The 19,056-nt window shown below is 38.3% G+C and overlaps 1 protein-coding gene across 37 annotated transcripts in view, besides 1 other annotated feature; it reads right to left on the minus strand.

Moving 5' to 3' along the window:
- TCF4 (transcription factor 4) overlaps positions 1–19,056 on the minus strand; it is a 413,773-nt gene that overhangs the window by 192,558 nt on the left and 202,159 nt on the right. For 2 of the 37 annotated variants that reach the window (NM_001348212.2, NM_001348213.2), the window contains exon 1: positions 7,450–7,555. The exons of 34 other annotated variants lie outside the window; for them this stretch is intronic. The gene's annotated coding sequence lies outside the window, so the exon portion shown is untranslated. Of the gene's footprint in view, positions 1–7,437; positions 7,556–19,056 lie in introns of those variants that run through there. One more of the 37 variants, NM_001243233.2, reaches the window with a different exon arrangement.
- Positions 7,652–9,106: an enhancer, noted in NCBI's record as "VISTA enhancer hs376". NCBI's record gives its function as "enhancer in: neural tube[8/12] | hindbrain (rhombencephalon)[8/12] | midbrain (mesencephalon)[6/12]" and the evidence as "EXISTENCE:transgenic organism evidence [ECO:0001131][PMID:17130149]".

Here is a 19,056-nt window from a genome sequence, read left to right on the forward strand (position 1 = left end):
TGGGAGTAAAGAGACCATCAGTGATTTGTTCCTTTAACATCTCATACTCTATAAACAGCAACTGCAAAAGCAAAACAAAACAAAAAATATTTTACTCAAACTACCATTCTCAATGTCTGCCAGTGAGCACAGCTTAATTTGGTTTGCAAGGAAACCAAAAATGCTTTTATAAAGTATTATGATGTAAATATACTCATTTTCCTTGGCAAAGCAAGTGAAAACTATCAACCAACCATAACAGGAATTTTTCTACTAGGGATTACCTACCACATCCATTACAGACAAATAATCATATTTCAAAATTTCAATGACTTATCTATCCCCTTTTAAGTTCTATTCCCAACTTAGTCCAACAAGAATACTTCTCAAATACAATCAAGGCAAGGGGAATATGAAAGCAATGAAAATATGGTTAATCGTGATATACAATCAACCACTTAAAAAACTCAAGAGTATTACACACATTGCATGTTATTTGAACTATCAGGACTATCTATTTACCAAAAACACACCCAAAACAAAACCTCACCTTTATTTCCAAATAAAAACAAATTAACGGCCATACTCAGTATTAAGCTACAACTTTATAATCATGGTAAATATCTGATCAGTTGTATAAAAATAAATTGAAACAAAACAAAAAACAAAAAAAACCCAACCTTGAAAAGTAAAAGAAAGAAAGAACCTCACACACCAGTCAGTTCCTATGTGAGCAGCCAGCAGAGGGCGCACATGCCCCAACAAGAGCCGGCTATGGCCAGGCACTCCCCAAACTTATTTAGTACTAAGTCTCACCAAATCTGTATGGGGGAGGAGGGGTACAGTCAGCCGATGAGTGGCATTGATAAAACTAACGTGCTCAATTTAGGATCAGTAAGAAACATACATAAGTACACTTTAGTATTAAATACTGACTTTAACAGATATTTCTTAGCTGCTCGATGGAAAGTTGTTCATTAAAAAGATTTGTACAGAAGTGAGCTTCTGTCAGTTTTCAAGGCCACAGTAGTTTTTATTGCCCTATCTGACCTGTATGAGGACTTATTTGTAATGCAAGGATTTATGGAATTAAATTAAATATTAAATTTCTAACATAATTAACACATATTTTTGTGAGTATATTGAATTACACTTAGCAAAGTCTCTTTTAGTGTATGTATATTTCTGTGTGTCTTATACAAATCTATTAATTAACTTTTGCAACCCTAAAGCAATCAAATATGTAGCATTTAAAGAATAAATTGAGATACATAAGTTCCTTATTTTCCCACTGGTTTGTGCTTGATTGATTACTTGTAAATTGTCTATTCTGTGTCTCTATATCACAATATTTGCTTTGGGGTTTACAGTAGGTTATACCAGAAGAGTACCTCACAGCTATGTATGTACACACACATATAGGTAGGGCACTGTTTATTCTTTTAAAGAAGTTTTCCTACAGATGCAAAAGTCACAAATTGTTCCTACTGTTTTCCAAGCTTGTTGAAACAATAGCACAAATTGAAAAAAAAATTAACTCATAAAAGCACCAAATTAAAATGAACAAAGACTACATTATTTACTTTTACAGATAAAAATTAAATAGTCCATAACACATCCAATCTCTAATTTCAAATAGGTTAGAATGAATGGAAGGTCTGCCCCTAAGTTTCAAGCTAGAAAGCCTGGTAGGATAATTAGCTGCCACTGTCCCTCCACCTAAATGATCATTTCACTTGATCTTAGCCAAAAGGCTAAGAAGCGATTCCTAAATGATCATTTCAACCTCACCTCTCTATTCACGAAACAAAAACAATAAAGCCAAGTAACATTTCCATCATAATATATATATTTTTTAGCATCCTTCATAAACTTGAGAGAACTTAATTTATAGAATCTAAAAACCAGGTGGTCTACGTTACATGTAGGTCACAATAAATAATATGCCTCCTTTGGCCAATATGGCTGCACCATTTTTGCCTAAGTTAAAATGACGATGTTTCATTATTCCTAAGCTCTCAGTTCTGAAATGTTTACACAATCTGTTAAGTCCAGGGAAATTTAAATGACTTTGACATGCAGCCTGCTAAGGCCAGTGACGGGGATAATGCCTCTTTACGTGGGTAAAATTTTGTGGCATATAGGTCACTCTCTTAAGGGGAATCAACTGTGTGTCTCTTCTTTGCACTTCTACCACAATCCTTCATCCTGCAGCCTGGAGCTGAGAGTGAAATGCAAGAAAGGAGCCGAGTGCTCAAAGCAAAAATCTGCTTCCAGGACAATCCATTATATCTGACAAGTTAAATGTTCCATGGTAGGCCATATGGCATCAGAGCAGGCCCGACGACGGAAGAGGGGAACTCAGCAAATGCATCACAATTAAGGAGTTTGGCTACAGACTTTACTTAGAATTACTTATTTTTTTTATCAAAGTTTAAATGCAGTCCCTCACATTTTCAACTGAATCCCTTTGATGAGACCATTTTTCAAGAAGTGTCACAATTTCTTTTCTCATCCCGCGACTGTGGACACTTAAATCTACAGGTAAAGGTAGACATGGCCATTTTTACCAAATGGAGTTTCAAAGATGAGGACCTGCAGCTGCATTTTTAAAACGTCTTCAAGACAAATGCTATGTAAGCCCTATCTGCTCACTAGATTAGGATATTTAAATGAAAGTGATCATTGGATTAGGGCATTTAAATGAAACTGATAGAACATTAAGTAAAACTAGTTTTCAATATTAAGTCTAAAAAATCTTAAAACCTGTACAGTCAGAACTGACATATTCTCGTTTCTTCTGTGGTTTACTTATTATCTATCAAATGAATGAATGGACTGGACTGACTCTGTCAGTCTCTCCTCCTAGCATGGCACCAAAAAGGAACTCTGTACATCCTGCTAATACCATGTCCCAGAGACAAGTTTTATAAGCTCCCTAAGACACTCTGATGATTAAAACTAAGTTGCCTAAAATAATATTTGTCATTAGGGACAACGTAATGTAAAGATTTGTACTTAATCAAGATATGCATTTATTACATTAAGGCAGAGGAAGATAAAATTGATAAAATCACTGAAATAGTTAATATTATGCTACAGCATGTTACCACTCATTTAAATTAAAAACAAATGTTTTTATTTCTCCCAAAGAATTCTCGGGGGAGAACTGTACCTATAATAAAAACTGAAACAGCTTTCAGTAGAAGTATCCAAACTCATCTGCTCCAATGGTAATTTTATCAACTCCTTTACTTCCTGAGGATGATTTTCTTGAGCAAATGTGTGTGTGTGTGTGTGTGTGTGTGTGTGTGTGTGTGTGTATCTGTGTGTGTAGTAATAGGTAGATTCTAAACAATAATGATTATCGTTTAAGTATTCACACTGGTTTGCAAACATGAAATTCATAATGATTAAGAGAAACATGCATGAATTTTTCCAAAAGAGAAGATGTTAAGATTCATTTCCCTAAACTATTTTCATTCTCTATTTCTCCAGAGGGTCACTATTTCCCTCAAATGCATCGCTTTTGCCTTAATTAAGGATAACATTGCGTCAATGAGCCTGTATATACTTTATAAGAATGAGTCATTTTGCTTTATGTTGAAACTTATGAACACATTTTTTTCTGGTGGTCTTAAACTTATCATTTGTTAATAATCTAATGTAACATTATATTTGCATCTCCCTTATTTTTAAATATGAGATGATTTACTGAATTATAAAAGATGGTATGTGGGGTATGAATTGGTCATCTGCATCCTGTATTAACAATCAATTGTTAAGAACTGTTATGACTCCTTATATTTCATTAAGTGCTTTTCAACATACATGCTCAAATGAGCTTCCTCATAATCCTGTTAGGTAGATACCATAACAATTATCATTTATACTTTCATTCTGAATATGAGAAAAAAGGGATACTTGGTGGTTAATTTATTTGCCTTAGAGCACACAGCTATGAAAGAGAAGAGTCACATCTTTTGCCCAGGCCTACCTAAATGTCAGCATTATATTTTGTCATGCCATACTTGAGGAAGTAGGAGCATTAAAAAGATACAGTTTTACTTATGTGCAAGTTTATAGATTATACATTTTTACTTTTTATCTAAGAAAAGTAGCCAAATTCTTTGGTGTTGTGTTAGTGCCCAGTTTGAAAAAGGACACACCTGGCACATAATTACACTTGCCCACACACACACATACATACATATTTATAAAATGTAGCCACATACACCTCAGCACCAACAGAGTGCATTGGGCCATTGTGTACTGTAGATCCTATTTCTGTGTATCCAGATCCACACTTTTATTACTAATTAAAATGTCCAGATGGTAAAATAACACCTGATCCGAGGGGCTTTTAAGTACAGTAATTGTCAATGCTCAACTCCTACCTTGTTAACAAATTGGAAAAATTGGCCTACACTGAGTTTTACACATACTGTTTCCAAACCATCAGTAAAATGTAGCTGAAACTTTAATAATGTGGACAGAAAATGCCTACATTAAACTCAAGAAAAAGATCTGACATTCAAATCATTACCACTGGAAGAAAGCTTATGGACTCCAACAGAAGGAATGTCATATCATAGCAATACAATTGGGTTTTACCAACAAAAAATCTACAGTAGAGGGAAAGAATGACGTTAGAGGTATTCAACATCCAACCATTTCATGAGGCCCTTTCTTTACACCTTTTGTTTTGCAGGTTCACTAAATGATAAACAATTCTTAAAATATATTTTGTCTTGTCAAGTGTTTTTTCATTTTAATGTATGGATTCAGATCTTAATCATAAAGCAAAACCTTTATTATCTTATAGGGTTTTTAAATATACAGATTCCAGAGTGACCCCTGAAATTCAGGTTAGGCAGTGGCTCATGAGTAATATACTTAGGGAAATCACAAATGCTTTTAAAATGTTTAAGCAGTTACTTCCTAATCCTAAGTGGATTCTTTTTTCTCAAGCAAACATTTTTGCAAATATTTAGGTTGCTTTGATACGCAAATGTTCTCCCAAACATTTCCACCAGCCAGCCACTGAAATCTCTCCACAGACCCCAACCAATGGGAAAGTTTGCAAGGGAAATATGAGAAGCGACTGAACGGGAATACTGGCAGGAACACTGGCTTCGCTGCCCACAAACAAATGTTGATTTTGTTGCAACACCTGAAACAAAACATCTGGGTGTCTTAGTGGAACCCCTTCTTTAAAATTCTCAGTCATGGGGCTGTAATTCTCATTGACTGAAGCAGTATCTTCTAGGGAGGGTAAAACTGATCACCCACAGGTTTCCTATTACAGAGTTCAATAACTCCAGTAAATGTGGCTTGCTGCTGGACAGTGGAAATCCCATCACTTTAAAAAGAAAATGCCCACAGGAATTAACACGTGCAAAACAGGAAACGGAAAAAACAACAAACAATGCCATGACAAAGGTCCCAAGCCTTACAGGTATAATAAAGGGAAACACTTTCAAAAACGTTTCCCTAAAGGAATACACCAGGGGAGAAGATGTCTCTAAAGTCATCTTTATCATCAGCTCAAGAAATAATTCATGAAAATGAAGGTTTTCTAGAAATAAAAACAAGAAGGTGGCACATTCAAAACTAACTTGTCAACACAGCATGATTACCATGATTATGTGTAAAAACAATCTCCAATACTCCCTTTCCCTTCCACACTCTACTCCAAAAACATCTTCTAACCCGCTTTTGGAAATAATGGGATTCCTTGATCACGGGACAACGAATCACCCTGAAGTTTTTCTCCAGTTTACTCAGTCACATAAGCCACCAGAGGCTAACCACACTGACAACAAAAGCAAGTCCCAGGATTCCGGGGGCTAATACCATGCTAGGCATTACTTGGGAAGTTATGAGTTGGTATACATCTGTGAATTTGGTGGGAGGAGAAAACTAACAGTAAATTTATCAAAGCCAGTGGAACGTTCAGCGTTATAAAATTACAAGGATCTGCTTCTCGGCGACTAACCTGCTTTTTCACTTCTGCCATCACTTCCTCATTTACACATATTAGAAGCTGGTCAAAGATTTCATTAGATGTGGTTTTGACAATAACAGCAAAGTGCCTAAAGCCACAGATTTTTAAATGAGCCCCAAATTCAGATTTGGGGGAAAAAAGAACCAATCACAGCAGAAAGCGCTTTAAAAGAAAAAAAAAAAAAAAAGAAACATTATCTTGAGCAGTTATTCTGCACTTAGTTGTACTGTGTGAAAAGAAAATAAAAAAAGCTCTATAAAATGTCAGAATTAACCTATCGTTTCAGATTGCTTACAGGTGAAATTCTACCATCTGGATGGGCAGTTTGCCCACACAAAAAAAGAAATAAACTAAAAGGAAAAAAAAAAAGTAAAACCTTCTTTTGCCTGCTATTTTACCACAATAGATTTTACAGGAGAGAGGACAGAGCCACCATAATCTTTAGACATGGACACACACACATTTACACACATGCCTGTGTACACACACACAGGTTCATGTACAAACTGTGACAAAATAAAAGTTGGAAGAAGCAAGAGATTGAAATAAAATTCTGTTTCTTGGAACCCCAAGAGTTTAACAAGGAATGAAACCCAGTCATTCTTAATCACATACAAGGGAAAAAAGATTTATTTTAAAATTTTCGTGAAATAACTGATGATTCTTTCTGTTTTACTGAAATACTCTAAAAAATAAGGCCCCGCATATCAAAGTTTCTCTCTTCCCTTAACAAGGCGTATTATAATCTTTATTTATGCTGGGCTAGCAACTTTGGGAATTACAATTTAACTTTAAATAAACAGGAAACTGCATCTTAGGAACTCCCAGAAGTCATTTTATTCATCTGAGAGTGAAAATGCTTATAAACGTTATAATTTATAAAGAAGTACACTTCTATTTTCCCTTTTTCTTAATCATTATACAAACCTTTTATTAAAACATCTGCCTCAGCAAAAAGACCAGTTTTAATAATCATCATTTTTTAACCTAAAGATCAAATAGAAAATGAAGTCAGACTCTGTTTAAGTTTTTCTTTCTAACCTTGAGGGCCAGATAGAACTTTCAGTTTAACTTCAGGCTTGTCTGTCAAACATGGTACCAGGTTGGCATCAAGTGTACATTTGCCAACCTAAAGTTCCACATTTTGAAAGCAACACACAGAGGCTTTCATAAATTAACAGCTCTCTGTGTTAAATATTTGTCGATATCTCTGCTCTGGGGTTTCTGGGTTTCCATTTTGATTGCAGAGTGTCTCCTAAAATTACATTTGAAGAACAACACTAAACCAGAAGTGTTGAGTGAGAGAATTATGGGCACATTCTCAAACTCTTACACTAAACCACAAAGGGAATAGATTAAAAAGAAAAAGCACAAAAAAAAAAAAACCACTATCATCCAAAAAAAAAAAAAAAAAAAAAAACCCACCCTGAATAGAGAAATCGAATACTTGCTTTTCTTTCGACCTTATGGGTAGCACGCCGAGGGAGGCACCAGAAGATCTAAGCCCAAATACGTGATGAAGAGTCGCCAAAAAGCATGTGGATGAATAAACTGTTGTGGCGTGAATCTGCCAGCCAGAGGACAGAACACAACATGCTGGGGCTTGGCTGTCCTAACATGTTTTACTATGTACATTTAAATAGTCTTGAAAGGGAAAAGGAAAGAAGGGAAAAGGTGGAGGGTTTGGGGGGTTTTTTTTAATATTAAAAAAAAAGTTTGCCAGAAATTCTCATACTTGGGTCACAAATAAAAGTACTTTCCTATTATTAAAAAAAAGAGAATCTAGTTCTTAGGCTAACACTCATCACATGTTTCCTATGATGGAAATTTAGGGGGGTGGTTTAAAGAGTTAAAGACTCCCTACCATTAATTTGCATCTGGTGCTTTTAGTGTGTGTGTGTGTTTTTTTCTTCCCTGAAAAGTTGGCAGAGCCGCCGATTTTCCATAATGCAAGCATTTGGGAATTGTGAGCGGAATGAAACCGATCCAATCTCCTGACTGCGACATGAATTTTCATTAATTACAACCTTGTCAGCAAAAGCATTATCAAAGCTGAATATGAAAATGCTAATGAGTCCTCATTTGCATATTTTTCTTTGTTGGAATGTCATTAATTATTACATTTTATGATGATGAATGCAGCTGTCGAAGCTCTCCGATGCATAATTAGCCATCAGAATGCCAGGAGCCGATCAGCATTTTTGGGTGAAAAAAAACAAATTTCACTTCCACTCTCCCCCAACCCAACACCACCAAACACACACACACACACGCACATGCTCACACACACACGCACACACAGACTCGGAGCCCTGATGATGACAGTCCTGAGGCCGGACTTTGGGGGAAGTTGAAAAGGGCTAGGTTAAAGCAAATTTATTTTTGCCTTAAAATTATTTTGTTTTTAGGCGATAATGGTCTTATACAATAGAAGCAGTTCTTAATAAAAAAAAATCGTTATTCCAGCTTAATTAATGCCACGCTTAATTATAACACCATGATGTCAGCGGTTTTAATTAAGTATTGGCTCCGTTACAAAAAAAAATCCTCACTGCAGTAAGAGTCACAATACACAGAGTTGTGCAAATCATTTCTGCGATATTTTGGTCTTCCGTGGTTCACGAACTATTCAGATATTAACAGGCAGCATTAAAACTCCACGCACACACGCGTGCGCAGGAGAGGCACACGCGCGCGCGCACACACACACACACACACACACACACAATCAAGCAAAGGGGAAAAACCGTACTTTCCTACTACATTACTTGGACAGACTTTAGAGCTTACCTACTTGACCACTTTTTTGAGCTAAAGTGTAAGTGAAGATGACAAAACATAGCTCATCCTCTCTCAGCCTCTGGGAACGGTGTTTATAAGTAAAAAAAGAAAAACAACACAGAGCAGATGGGACCATTACACATGACCAAACCAATCAATCACAGATGAAGGGCCCAGGTGCAGCGCAGCCGTGCAACAACGCACCATTTCACAGTCTGTCAGACACACACACACGGTCGTCCATGAGTGACCCTCCTCAGCTCCCCCCGGACCTCATCTGGGGCGCTGCGCCCCTCTCGCCTGCCTACACTCCAACTGACGTCTTCATAATCGCCCTGTCTTTCTATCTGCTTTGGCTCCTGTAAAGAGAGGAGGATGGAAGGGGTGGTGACTGGGCGGAAGGGGGGATGGGAGGGGAGATGAGGACAGGGGCTCACATCATTGTCACTTATGAGGAGTCCGGTCTTCCTCCTTCTGCCATCCCCATGGCCCCTCCCTCTCCAACCACCATCAGAATCGCTTTTCTAACCATCATTACGCTCATTAATTTTTAAGGGTGACTGCTTGGCTGCGGCACCCCAACTGTCTGCCATTAGAAATAGAAATTTTGTGTGTGAGTTTCTTGCCTGTGAGGAAAAAAGATGTGTGTCACTCGACAAAGTCATGATTAGATGGAAATGTTAGAAATTAATTAATTGGAAGTGGGTAGGAAGACTTTTCTTAGCCCCCTCCAGATTAGTTAACATGAGACTCTAGTTACCCACAAGCTTCCAAGGAATCAGCTCTGTCTCAAGATTTTGTGTCTTAAAGAAATTCCACAGCCTTTGGCATCCTATATCACAAACTCATCCAGGAATCACTGAACCCAAATGAAATTGTACATTTGTAAGGGTCACAAGCTTACACTGGCAACATAACTGAAACACCAACTTAAACACAAAGTTAGGGACAGGCTCCCTGCTTTAAACTCAGAATTCCTAACTCACAGCCTAACTTTCTATGGCTTGCAGCTTTCCTTTCTTTAAAACAAAACAAACAAAAAGCACAAAAATATCAAACAACAACTAAGGGGGGAGCAGAGAAAGACAGTAACCAATAGAATCAAAAGGATAATACACAGCACTGAGGCCCACCTACCCCATTTGAAAAAAAACTTCATCACACCACATCAGAAAAAAGCAGATTGGTTTTATTGATCCAATGAATTATTTAATCATGTCTTCTTCCTTAAGTCTAGGTAATTTATAACAGTTTTTGAGATCTTTTGATACAGTACAAATATTATAAAGAATCAACTATATTTACTCAAAATATTGAAAATGGATACTTTCCCCAGCTTTAGGAGATGCCTGCTCATCCGAAGAGTGATTGAATGTTCTCGACAATTTATAATTTATTTTGCCTATTTAGAGATGAGAAGGAGTTTAGGAAAGCACTCAAACCCTCCAAAGAACAACTATATGACTGCAAAATAGCTTAAAGGATTTATGTCCCAAAATGCTCATGACATTTTAGGCATTACTGAAAATTTACACTAAGAACAAGAAAAAGTTTAATCAAAATAGACCACACAATCCAGCCACTTTAAGGATTAAGTCAAGTTGTCATTTATGTGAAGCTTCATGTAATGGTGGAAAAAATGAAATAGAGTACAGGCTAAGTTGGGTGAGAAAGTGTCCTACCTAAAATCTGCATGCCATTCCATTTACAGGCAAAGGCAATTTTACACAACACTAGGCAGATTGGATTCGTTGAAATGAAAGCTTTGTCTCTTAGCATGGGCCCTATCATCAATTCAAACATATTTTCAGAATGGTTTGATGATGCACTTGTTTTTGGCTTTTTTTTTTTCTTTTGAGGATTCAGTATGCTTCCCCCAGCTCTTCACCAATGAATTTGTCCTTTGGAAACTTTTAAGTATTGAATGAATCTTTCCATTCCCCAATGGATCCTATAATTTTTATGCTTAGTCCTTGTTAGCAAGGAACCTCATATCTGAAGTCAAGGAAAAAAAAAAACAGAAAACATATTAACATCTTCCATAGCTATGTAGGAAGGGATCACCTTGTGTTTTGAATGAGTATATCTTTTCCTCAAGGAACAGACTCTACACATTTGCATTAATAAATTTCTATTTTCAAGCTCAATAGAAATTGCAGTACAAAAAGCAGATGTGTACGTTGGGCTCTTTCAAATTAAATTTCCAAAAGCAGAGCCTATTCTAGCTCAAGATCAAAGGAACTAAAACACGATCTCCTCCCCCTTCCAATATAATTACAGAGATTTCATTTCTTTTGTTACAATGAGCACAACAGGTAAATCTTAAACCTGAGGGATAATGATCAGGTGCTACAGCTCAGCTTTGCTGGGTGGCTCAATCGCTCTGCTCAGTGCCCCTGCTGTTTAAACTACCACTCTACAGGAAGATGGGAAATGCCTAGTGCTCTACTTTATTCTTGGAGATTTGTTTCCTTTTCCACATCAAGACTACGCAGAATAGCTCTGAGATGGATACAACCCATTTTACAGCAGACTTGTTTCTAAAGAAGGGACATGTCCATCCTAAAACACAAACCAAGACAAAAAATTTTATATATATATATATATATACACACACACACACACATATATTTTCATACGTGTCTTTTATTGGTAGGCTACCTAAAAACCCTTTTGGAAGGATATGGGGTATAAATAATAAATAAGTGAGAACTGACATGGTTGTGAAATGTCATATCCTGGCAGTCCTATAAAAGGACAAGACCCTAGGGAGGCAGAAGAAAGAGATGCAGCCACAGATCATCCAAAACTGAGGTTCCACAGAAAATCTGTTCCACTTCAGAATGATTAGCATCATCTACTTCTTTGGGGAAGACAGGTGAAGAGAGAACCAAATTTAAGTCAATACCCACAAAAAGAGTGAACTTTGGGCAAGCACACCCTCTAGGCTTAAACATCCTTGAGAGCAACTGCATTCTACATTTGTATTTCCATCTCCCTTTTAAAATTCCTGGTACCTCATTTCATCCTTTGCTGCCCATAGGCATCTGTTCCCCTCTAATTATTTGCCATTTAGAAAAACTCTGCTTAAATTCCTTGTGCATCTGTCCCTTGCTTAGTGTATATTTGTGATGTTTCAATATGGTGCTTGATTTTAGAGCAGCCTTGCATGTAAGTACAAAAACTTTTCCAACCCAGAAAAATATTTCAATACCCTCTCCCCTAAAGAGTATGCACAAATTAAACACTACCAGTATTTTATAAAATAAATATGTACTTCTATATATATCATACTAATATACAAACATATACAAACACAGACACACAAAGACACAAACACAGACACACAAAGACACACACACACACTCCTCAAAGCTTCTAGTGTGTCTACCAACCAGTGTCATCACAGTATAAATTCCAGTAACAATGTTCTTTCCCAAAATACAGTCTTTTACTTTTAAGGAGCTAAGGTTTCCTAGCTCCTGAATTATTTTTTGGTCATAGATGAAATAAAACACTATTTTGCATGAAGATATCATTTCAAGGATATCTACCTCTTGAGAATATAAGGGGGAAAAAAACTTTAAAAACCAGACAGTTCAATAGCATCAAAAACCCCAAATCCAACAGGTTTAATTATTTCCTATATCTCTTCTACACACCCTTCCTTCTCCTTGCCCATTCCTTCATTCTTCCAGCTTCTTTTCCCTTTTCCATACTCCATTCCTTAAAGAAGAGGTACTGGATGAGGGGAAAACATTGGAAGGGGAGCCTGGAAATATGGCTTCTAAATTTCAGTTCTGCCAATAGCTAGCTGTATGAGTGTCCATTTTCTCATCTGAATTAGAGTAAATGATTCCTCAGCTCCCTTGAGAAATAGTTACTATTAACTACATTAATAATAAGAATAATGATTTTCCCCGTGCCAAACACTTTGCAGTGTAGTGAGATGATTAGCAAAGTGGATCTGAGAGTCAAACCGCCTGGGTTTGAATCCTAGCTCCAAACATCATCCCTGTTTCCAATGAACTGAGAACCCTGGCAAGTTACTAAATATCTTGATGCCTCCATCTTCTCATCAATGAAATAGGACTAGGAATAACATCTACATCATGCTATTGTTGTGAGGAACAAATAAGTGAAGACACTGAACGCCCTCAACATTTGTATTCATTCCTTCTCATCTGTCTCCACCTACAATGAAAGTTTACAGAAAAGGGAGTATCTTATGTTCACCACTATATTCACATAACCTAAAATAGTACCTGCTATTTGTATGGAATTGGTAAATGAAAAACTGTTCAGCGAATGAATGAATAAATGAACAGACCAAGAAATGTGTTTTGTTCATCATGAGAACCAATGATTCTAAGACTAAATACTTAACTAGGTGTAATTTACATGGGATTTTGCATGACCTCTGTCTTCAGGAAACTGATAATTTATTACGTGAATGAAAAGTGCAAACAACTATAAACAATAGAGAAAAATCACATTAGAAGTACATAAAAGAAATACTTTGCCAAGTCAGATGAAAGACAACTCAACTCTGAGGGATGGAAAGTCAGTTCCTATTCCATGATTCCACCAAGAAAACTCTCTGAAAATGTCAACAGTGACCACTAAAGTGGTTAAAGCCAAGAGACACTGTTGAGTACTCATCTTCCTTGATGACCAAAAAAGACACACCCATCCCCTCCTTCTTAAAAAACTATGCTTAGCATAGCTTCTATAACATCACATTTCCCTTCTCTCCCAGTCCCTGGCATGCTCTTTTGTTCTCAATTGAATGTCTTTAAATCTTGAAAATCCTTCTACTGCTAGGCTCAAGGCCCACCTGTTACTCAAGACTCCATAAGCAATCTCATACCATCAACTGGCATCTCTACAAACAGCTCTTCAACTGCAGACTCTCCACTCAGACATCTCTGATCTGCACACCCTTAAATTCAACTGTCTACTTCATGTCTTCACTTGACTGGTTAAAGGTACCTCAAAATTAACACCAAACTCATGATCTTCTCCTTTCGACCTAGATATTTTCTAACATTCCTGGGGTTTTACAGAAACTAAAGAAGAAATGAGGTTACATTTGTTAAGAATCTCCTATTTCTTAGCTTCTCTGCTAGATGCATGCATCTTATTTAATTTTCATTACTATGCTCTATCATTATCTTCATTTTTAAGAGTATTAAAGCTCAGATAAACCACCTCCATTTCATCACAGAGCATGGATTTCAGGCTACATAGCTCAAAATTAAGAGGATAAACAATGTTTGGTGTCAAAAAACAATCTTAATCCCTTAGTTGGAGCCTTATTGCCTTGAAGGGGTTGTCACACGGTAAGCTTCCTGACTCTTACTGGAGAGAGATTTTGGTGAACTGATGAGAGGTCTACTCTGGAGAAGGAGGAGAAGATATATAACATCTTAATAGAGCAAAACAGACAACAAAAAAGAGAAAAGTTACAGAAAATAAATATAAGTGGGAAAAAAACTAATTAAGCAAAACTGTAAAAACCGAGCATATTAAATATATTTTGTCAATGAAAAGTTACAATGATGCAAATTTTTTAAATGCATAAATATATCCATAGCAAATATAGGAAAAAAGAACCATCAAAGGCCCACAGACGGCATATAAGTGAAATGAAGCCTTAGCAGGGTTGTCTAAAGTGAAAAAAACCTCACCTAGTAGTTGAATCTCTCTGGCCAGGGCCCTGGGCCATCCACACAACACCAGGACCAGAAATTTCATGGAGTCTTCTCCTCTATTCTCCTTTGTGGGTCCCCACAGAAGTTCCAAGTCCTGCCACGTTTTTGCCCAACATGAATGACTATACTTCACACCTGGCTTAGGACAAAACATGTTCCCTTCCCATGTACTAGGTGAAATATCAGACTCTGGGATTGCTCTCACTCAAGAAGAAACTTCCATCTCTTCCATGAGAACTCCTAAAAAGCCCATTTGGGGCCGAGCACGATGGCTCACGCCTGTAATCCCAGCACTTTGGGAGGCCAAGACCAGCGGATCACAAGGTCAGGAGATCAAGACCATCTGGCTAACACGGTGAAACCCCATCTCTACTAAAAATACAAAAAATTAGCCGGGCATGGTGGTGGGCGCCTGTGGTCCCAGCTACTCGGGAGGCTGAGGCAGGAGAATGGCGTGAACCCGGGAGGCGGAGCTTGCGATGAGCCAAGATGGCACCACTGCACTCACTCCAGCTTGGGGGACAGAGCAAGACTCCATCTCAAAAAAAAAAAAAAAAAAAAAAAAACAATTTGGTCAGTTCATCAGTGAGTCCTCATCAATCCAGGTGACTTGCTCCCCACCTCCAAATCCTGAAGATTCCACTATTTAGGTCTTGACATGATCTATCAGAAACTATCACAGTTTGGCTTACTCAGCTATTCACAGACACGTAATGGTTGCCTGTCTCCTTGGAGTGAGGACCTCTGTGATTGGAATTCCTCTTTTTGCATATGGACGACTGGGGGTTACCAGACAGAGGAAACTAGACATGTTGATGTTAAATGTTACGTGGTATATTTTTAAATATAATATTAATATTAGAACATTCATCTCTCTGTATTCACAGCTTCAGACCTTTGATGTCTCCAGCTGTCAGGGAAAAATACTTTTCTGGCAGAGGGAAAAGTAGATCAGGCACTCTTATCTCTATCAATCACAAACAGATCCCGTTGCATTTTCTGGCTCACTGGAGAGAATTTCTCCCTTCCAGTACTTGCCATGCCATACAAACTATGATTTGTAACAGGAAAGGACCCTGAGTAAGTGGGGGGAAGCAGAATGGATAAAAGGCTGTTCACCTTTTAGCTCTCATCCAGAGGCCACAACCCTGGCAAAGCCAATAATTTCCAAGTTTTCCAACAGCAAACTGGAAGAGGCAGATTTTTAGAGCACAAACAATTGCATTTGGGCTCCCAATTTAAAAATGACACTTGCAAGCCACACAAACCTCCAAAGCAGATGCCCTACTGAAGATACATGGGTGACCCAAGATCACGCAGCTACTGAGCAATGACATTAAGGAATCAAACCCTACTGGGACTCCAAATTCCCAGCTCTTCCCATGCCTGCACTTATGAAGACAGAAGCAGAAAGCAGGAAAAAAAAAAAGAGTAGTGAGCGAAACAGAAGGCAAGTTAGACGTTTTTAACATTGTGGATGTTGAGGGAGACAGGTTTTAAAAGACAAAACGAACAGGGCTAGAAAAAAATCATGGAATTTGCTGTGCCACTCTAGGAGATGCCAAACTGCCTTGGAAACTAAGTAGTTTTTTGGGAAAGTTGCTGGAATATATCATACTGAGGTATTGACACATAGGCCTGAAGTGGGTCCCAACTTTCACATCATCCCAGGAGATTTGAAGTAAGTGATCACATTTCGCCGAGAAACCACACTTTGATAATCACTGCCAGAGAAGAGAGGATCCATTTGCACATTTTGAAGCAAAGGGAAAAGGAGTCAGGGGAAAGACAGATGATGAAAGAAAATAGAGTTATGAAAAGAAAGGTCCCAGGAGACACAAGTTAGAAGAAGCTGAAAGATGCAAATGCAGAGGGTTGTCAAGAGAATAAAAACGAAGCACATTTTCTTCTAAGACATGGGGGAAAAAGGAGCCAGTTGGAGTTTAGTTGCAGCTCTTCTAAGATCACCTACCTCAAATCAAGGAACACATCTGAGAAACCTGACATCTCATCTAAATTTGTGGAACCCCTACATCCCTTTGATTCCACCTTCTTTCTTGTTTTTTGTTTTTTCAGACGGAGTTTTGCTCTTGTTGTCCAGGCTAGAGTGCAATGGGGCGATCTCGGCTCACTGCAACCTCCGCCTTCCGGGTTCAAGCAATTCTCTCGCCTCAGCCTCCCGAGTAGCTGGGATTACAGGCACCTGCCACCAAGCCCAGCTAATTTTTGTATTTTTAGTAGAGACGGGGTTTCACCACGTTGGCCAAGCTGGTCTTGGACTCCTGACCTCAGGTGATCCGCCCACCTCAGCCTCCAAAAGTGCTGGGATTACAGTTGTGAACCACCGTGGCCGGCCTCCACTTTCTTTCTTACTTCTCTCCTTCTCTGAGGACTACCTGACCCATGCAGGGCTTTGTATTTCTGACTGAACGGTGAAGACTTGGAGTAAACAAGATGGCAGCAGGCGGTGATGAGAAAAAAAGATGAGTTGGACCCAGGTCAGGAGAGGAGATGAAGCGTTAAGACTGCAGGTGCTGGTGGTATCTCTCAAGATCCAGTGTTTCTTCTATTTCAATAAATTTTACTGTGGCACAAACTGGGTTTCAAAATCACTCATGGAAAATGAGATAACTAATGTCGGGGGGGTCTTCCAAAGAAATGGCAACTAGAGAAGCAAGAGGACATAGGGAGCTACCAAAAGGCGGTGCACGGATATCTCTGAAAGTCAACACTGTGAAAGTAATAGCACAGTGCAATGGGAAATTTAGGTTTTCAGCATTTAAAAATGATAATCTGGGCTGGGCAAGGTGGCTCATGCCTGTAATCCCAGCACTTTGGGAGGCCAAGGTGGATGGATCACTTGAAGTCAGGAGTTCGAGACCAGCCTGGTAAACATGGCGAAACCCTGTCTCTACTAAAATATACAAAAATTAGCTGGGCCTGGTGGCACACGCCTGTAGTCCCAGCCACTTGGGTGGCTGAGGCAGCAGAATCACTTGAACCCAGGAGGCGGAGGCTGCAGTGGGCCAAGATCATGCCACTGCATTCCAGCCTGGGCGACAGAGTGAGACTCTGTCTCAAAAATAAATAAATAAATAAATATGATAATCTTCCTTTGCAGCGCTGAACAGAGATTTGTACTTATTCATCCTCTTCATGAAGTAAGTAGCAGGGAGGAAGGAGAAAACCTAGCCCCACTGAAGACTTACTGTGCTTCAAATCTTACACTGGGCACTTTACCCTATACAACCTTGTAAGGTTGGCCTTGTTATCTCCATCCCACACACACAGAAAGGGAGACTGGGGAGTTTAAGTGCTTGAGCCAGGATGCAAACTCACATGTCAGTGAGTGTGGAAACAGGGTCTCCCAAAAAGTAAACAAACTAGATTCATCATCTGTCAGAGAAACTCACTCCTCTACTCGCCCCTCTCCACTGAACATACATGCTACACCGATTCTACTTTAATTCTGATTCTCTAAATTGCTTCTAAGTGCTTTCCTAATATTTTGCTCAAATTTATGAAAGATTGTAAACTACTATGGGTGTAAACACTGACCTGAATTCCACAGAGGAGTCTAATTCCAGGCCAGCAGTGTGCTTGGCAAATACAAGTCCTCACCAGATGCACATATTTCTATTAATAAAGCAACAGGTCTACACTCATCAGCCTCACTTATCACTTATTAAAAAATAATGATGACAATATTTTCCCTTGATTTTGTGACCTGTAATCATGCTTCTTGTAAGGTCTTTTTAAAAAGATTCTTGCTGTGGTTTAGCAGTGTGCTGAAATACATGTTTTTAAAAAAGTAAAAAAAGTGCAGTAGTGAATTCGGTAGTCATATCATCTCGATAACTTATATTTATATCTAATACTTCTAACCTGTCACATCTACCTGTGTTGCCCACCAGAGAAATAAAGTCTGATGGTTAAGAACACATGTTGCAGAGTCTGGCAGAACTGTGTGCTAAGCCCAAAACATACCAGTGACCAAGAGTGGGTCCTCCATCTGGATTATTTTAACCTTTCTGTCCCTCCTACCTTCCTTATGGGTAAAATGCAGATAACAAATGCTCCTCACAAACAGTTGCTATTAGATAAAATTTGCAAACAGCAGCACAGTGTTTGGCACATAGATAACTAGCAGCTACTGTTCCCAGATTAGGATAATATCAATAAACATGTATGGGCTTTAGCAATAAACATTACAGACACTGTTGGACAAAAGTGACTATCACTATTTACAATTTAGCGTTAATGGACCACGGATTTACTTTGCTGTTATGTGGACAAGTAAGCTTTATATTTGTACCACAGATACAAAGACCAGACATTGATCTGGACTGTTTTGAAAATACATGCCTCTGGTGATATGGACTGAGAGACCAGAGAGCCAGGAGATTAAATGCCTCGCCAAATATACCCAACTGTGTGTGCTGCTGATGACAGCAATGTCTATGCAAGAGGCGGCACACGTTTTCAACTTTACATATTTGCATTATGTTACGAGGGAAACTATATCACATTAGTGGCTCCCCAGGCTTTTCACTTTTGCTATTCTATTTTAGTTCC

The sequence above is a fragment of the Homo sapiens genome, chromosome 18 (genome assembly GCF_000001405.40).
Source record: "Homo sapiens chromosome 18, GRCh38.p14 Primary Assembly".
NCBI classification, from domain to species: Eukaryota; Metazoa; Chordata; class Mammalia; order Primates; family Hominidae; genus Homo; species Homo sapiens.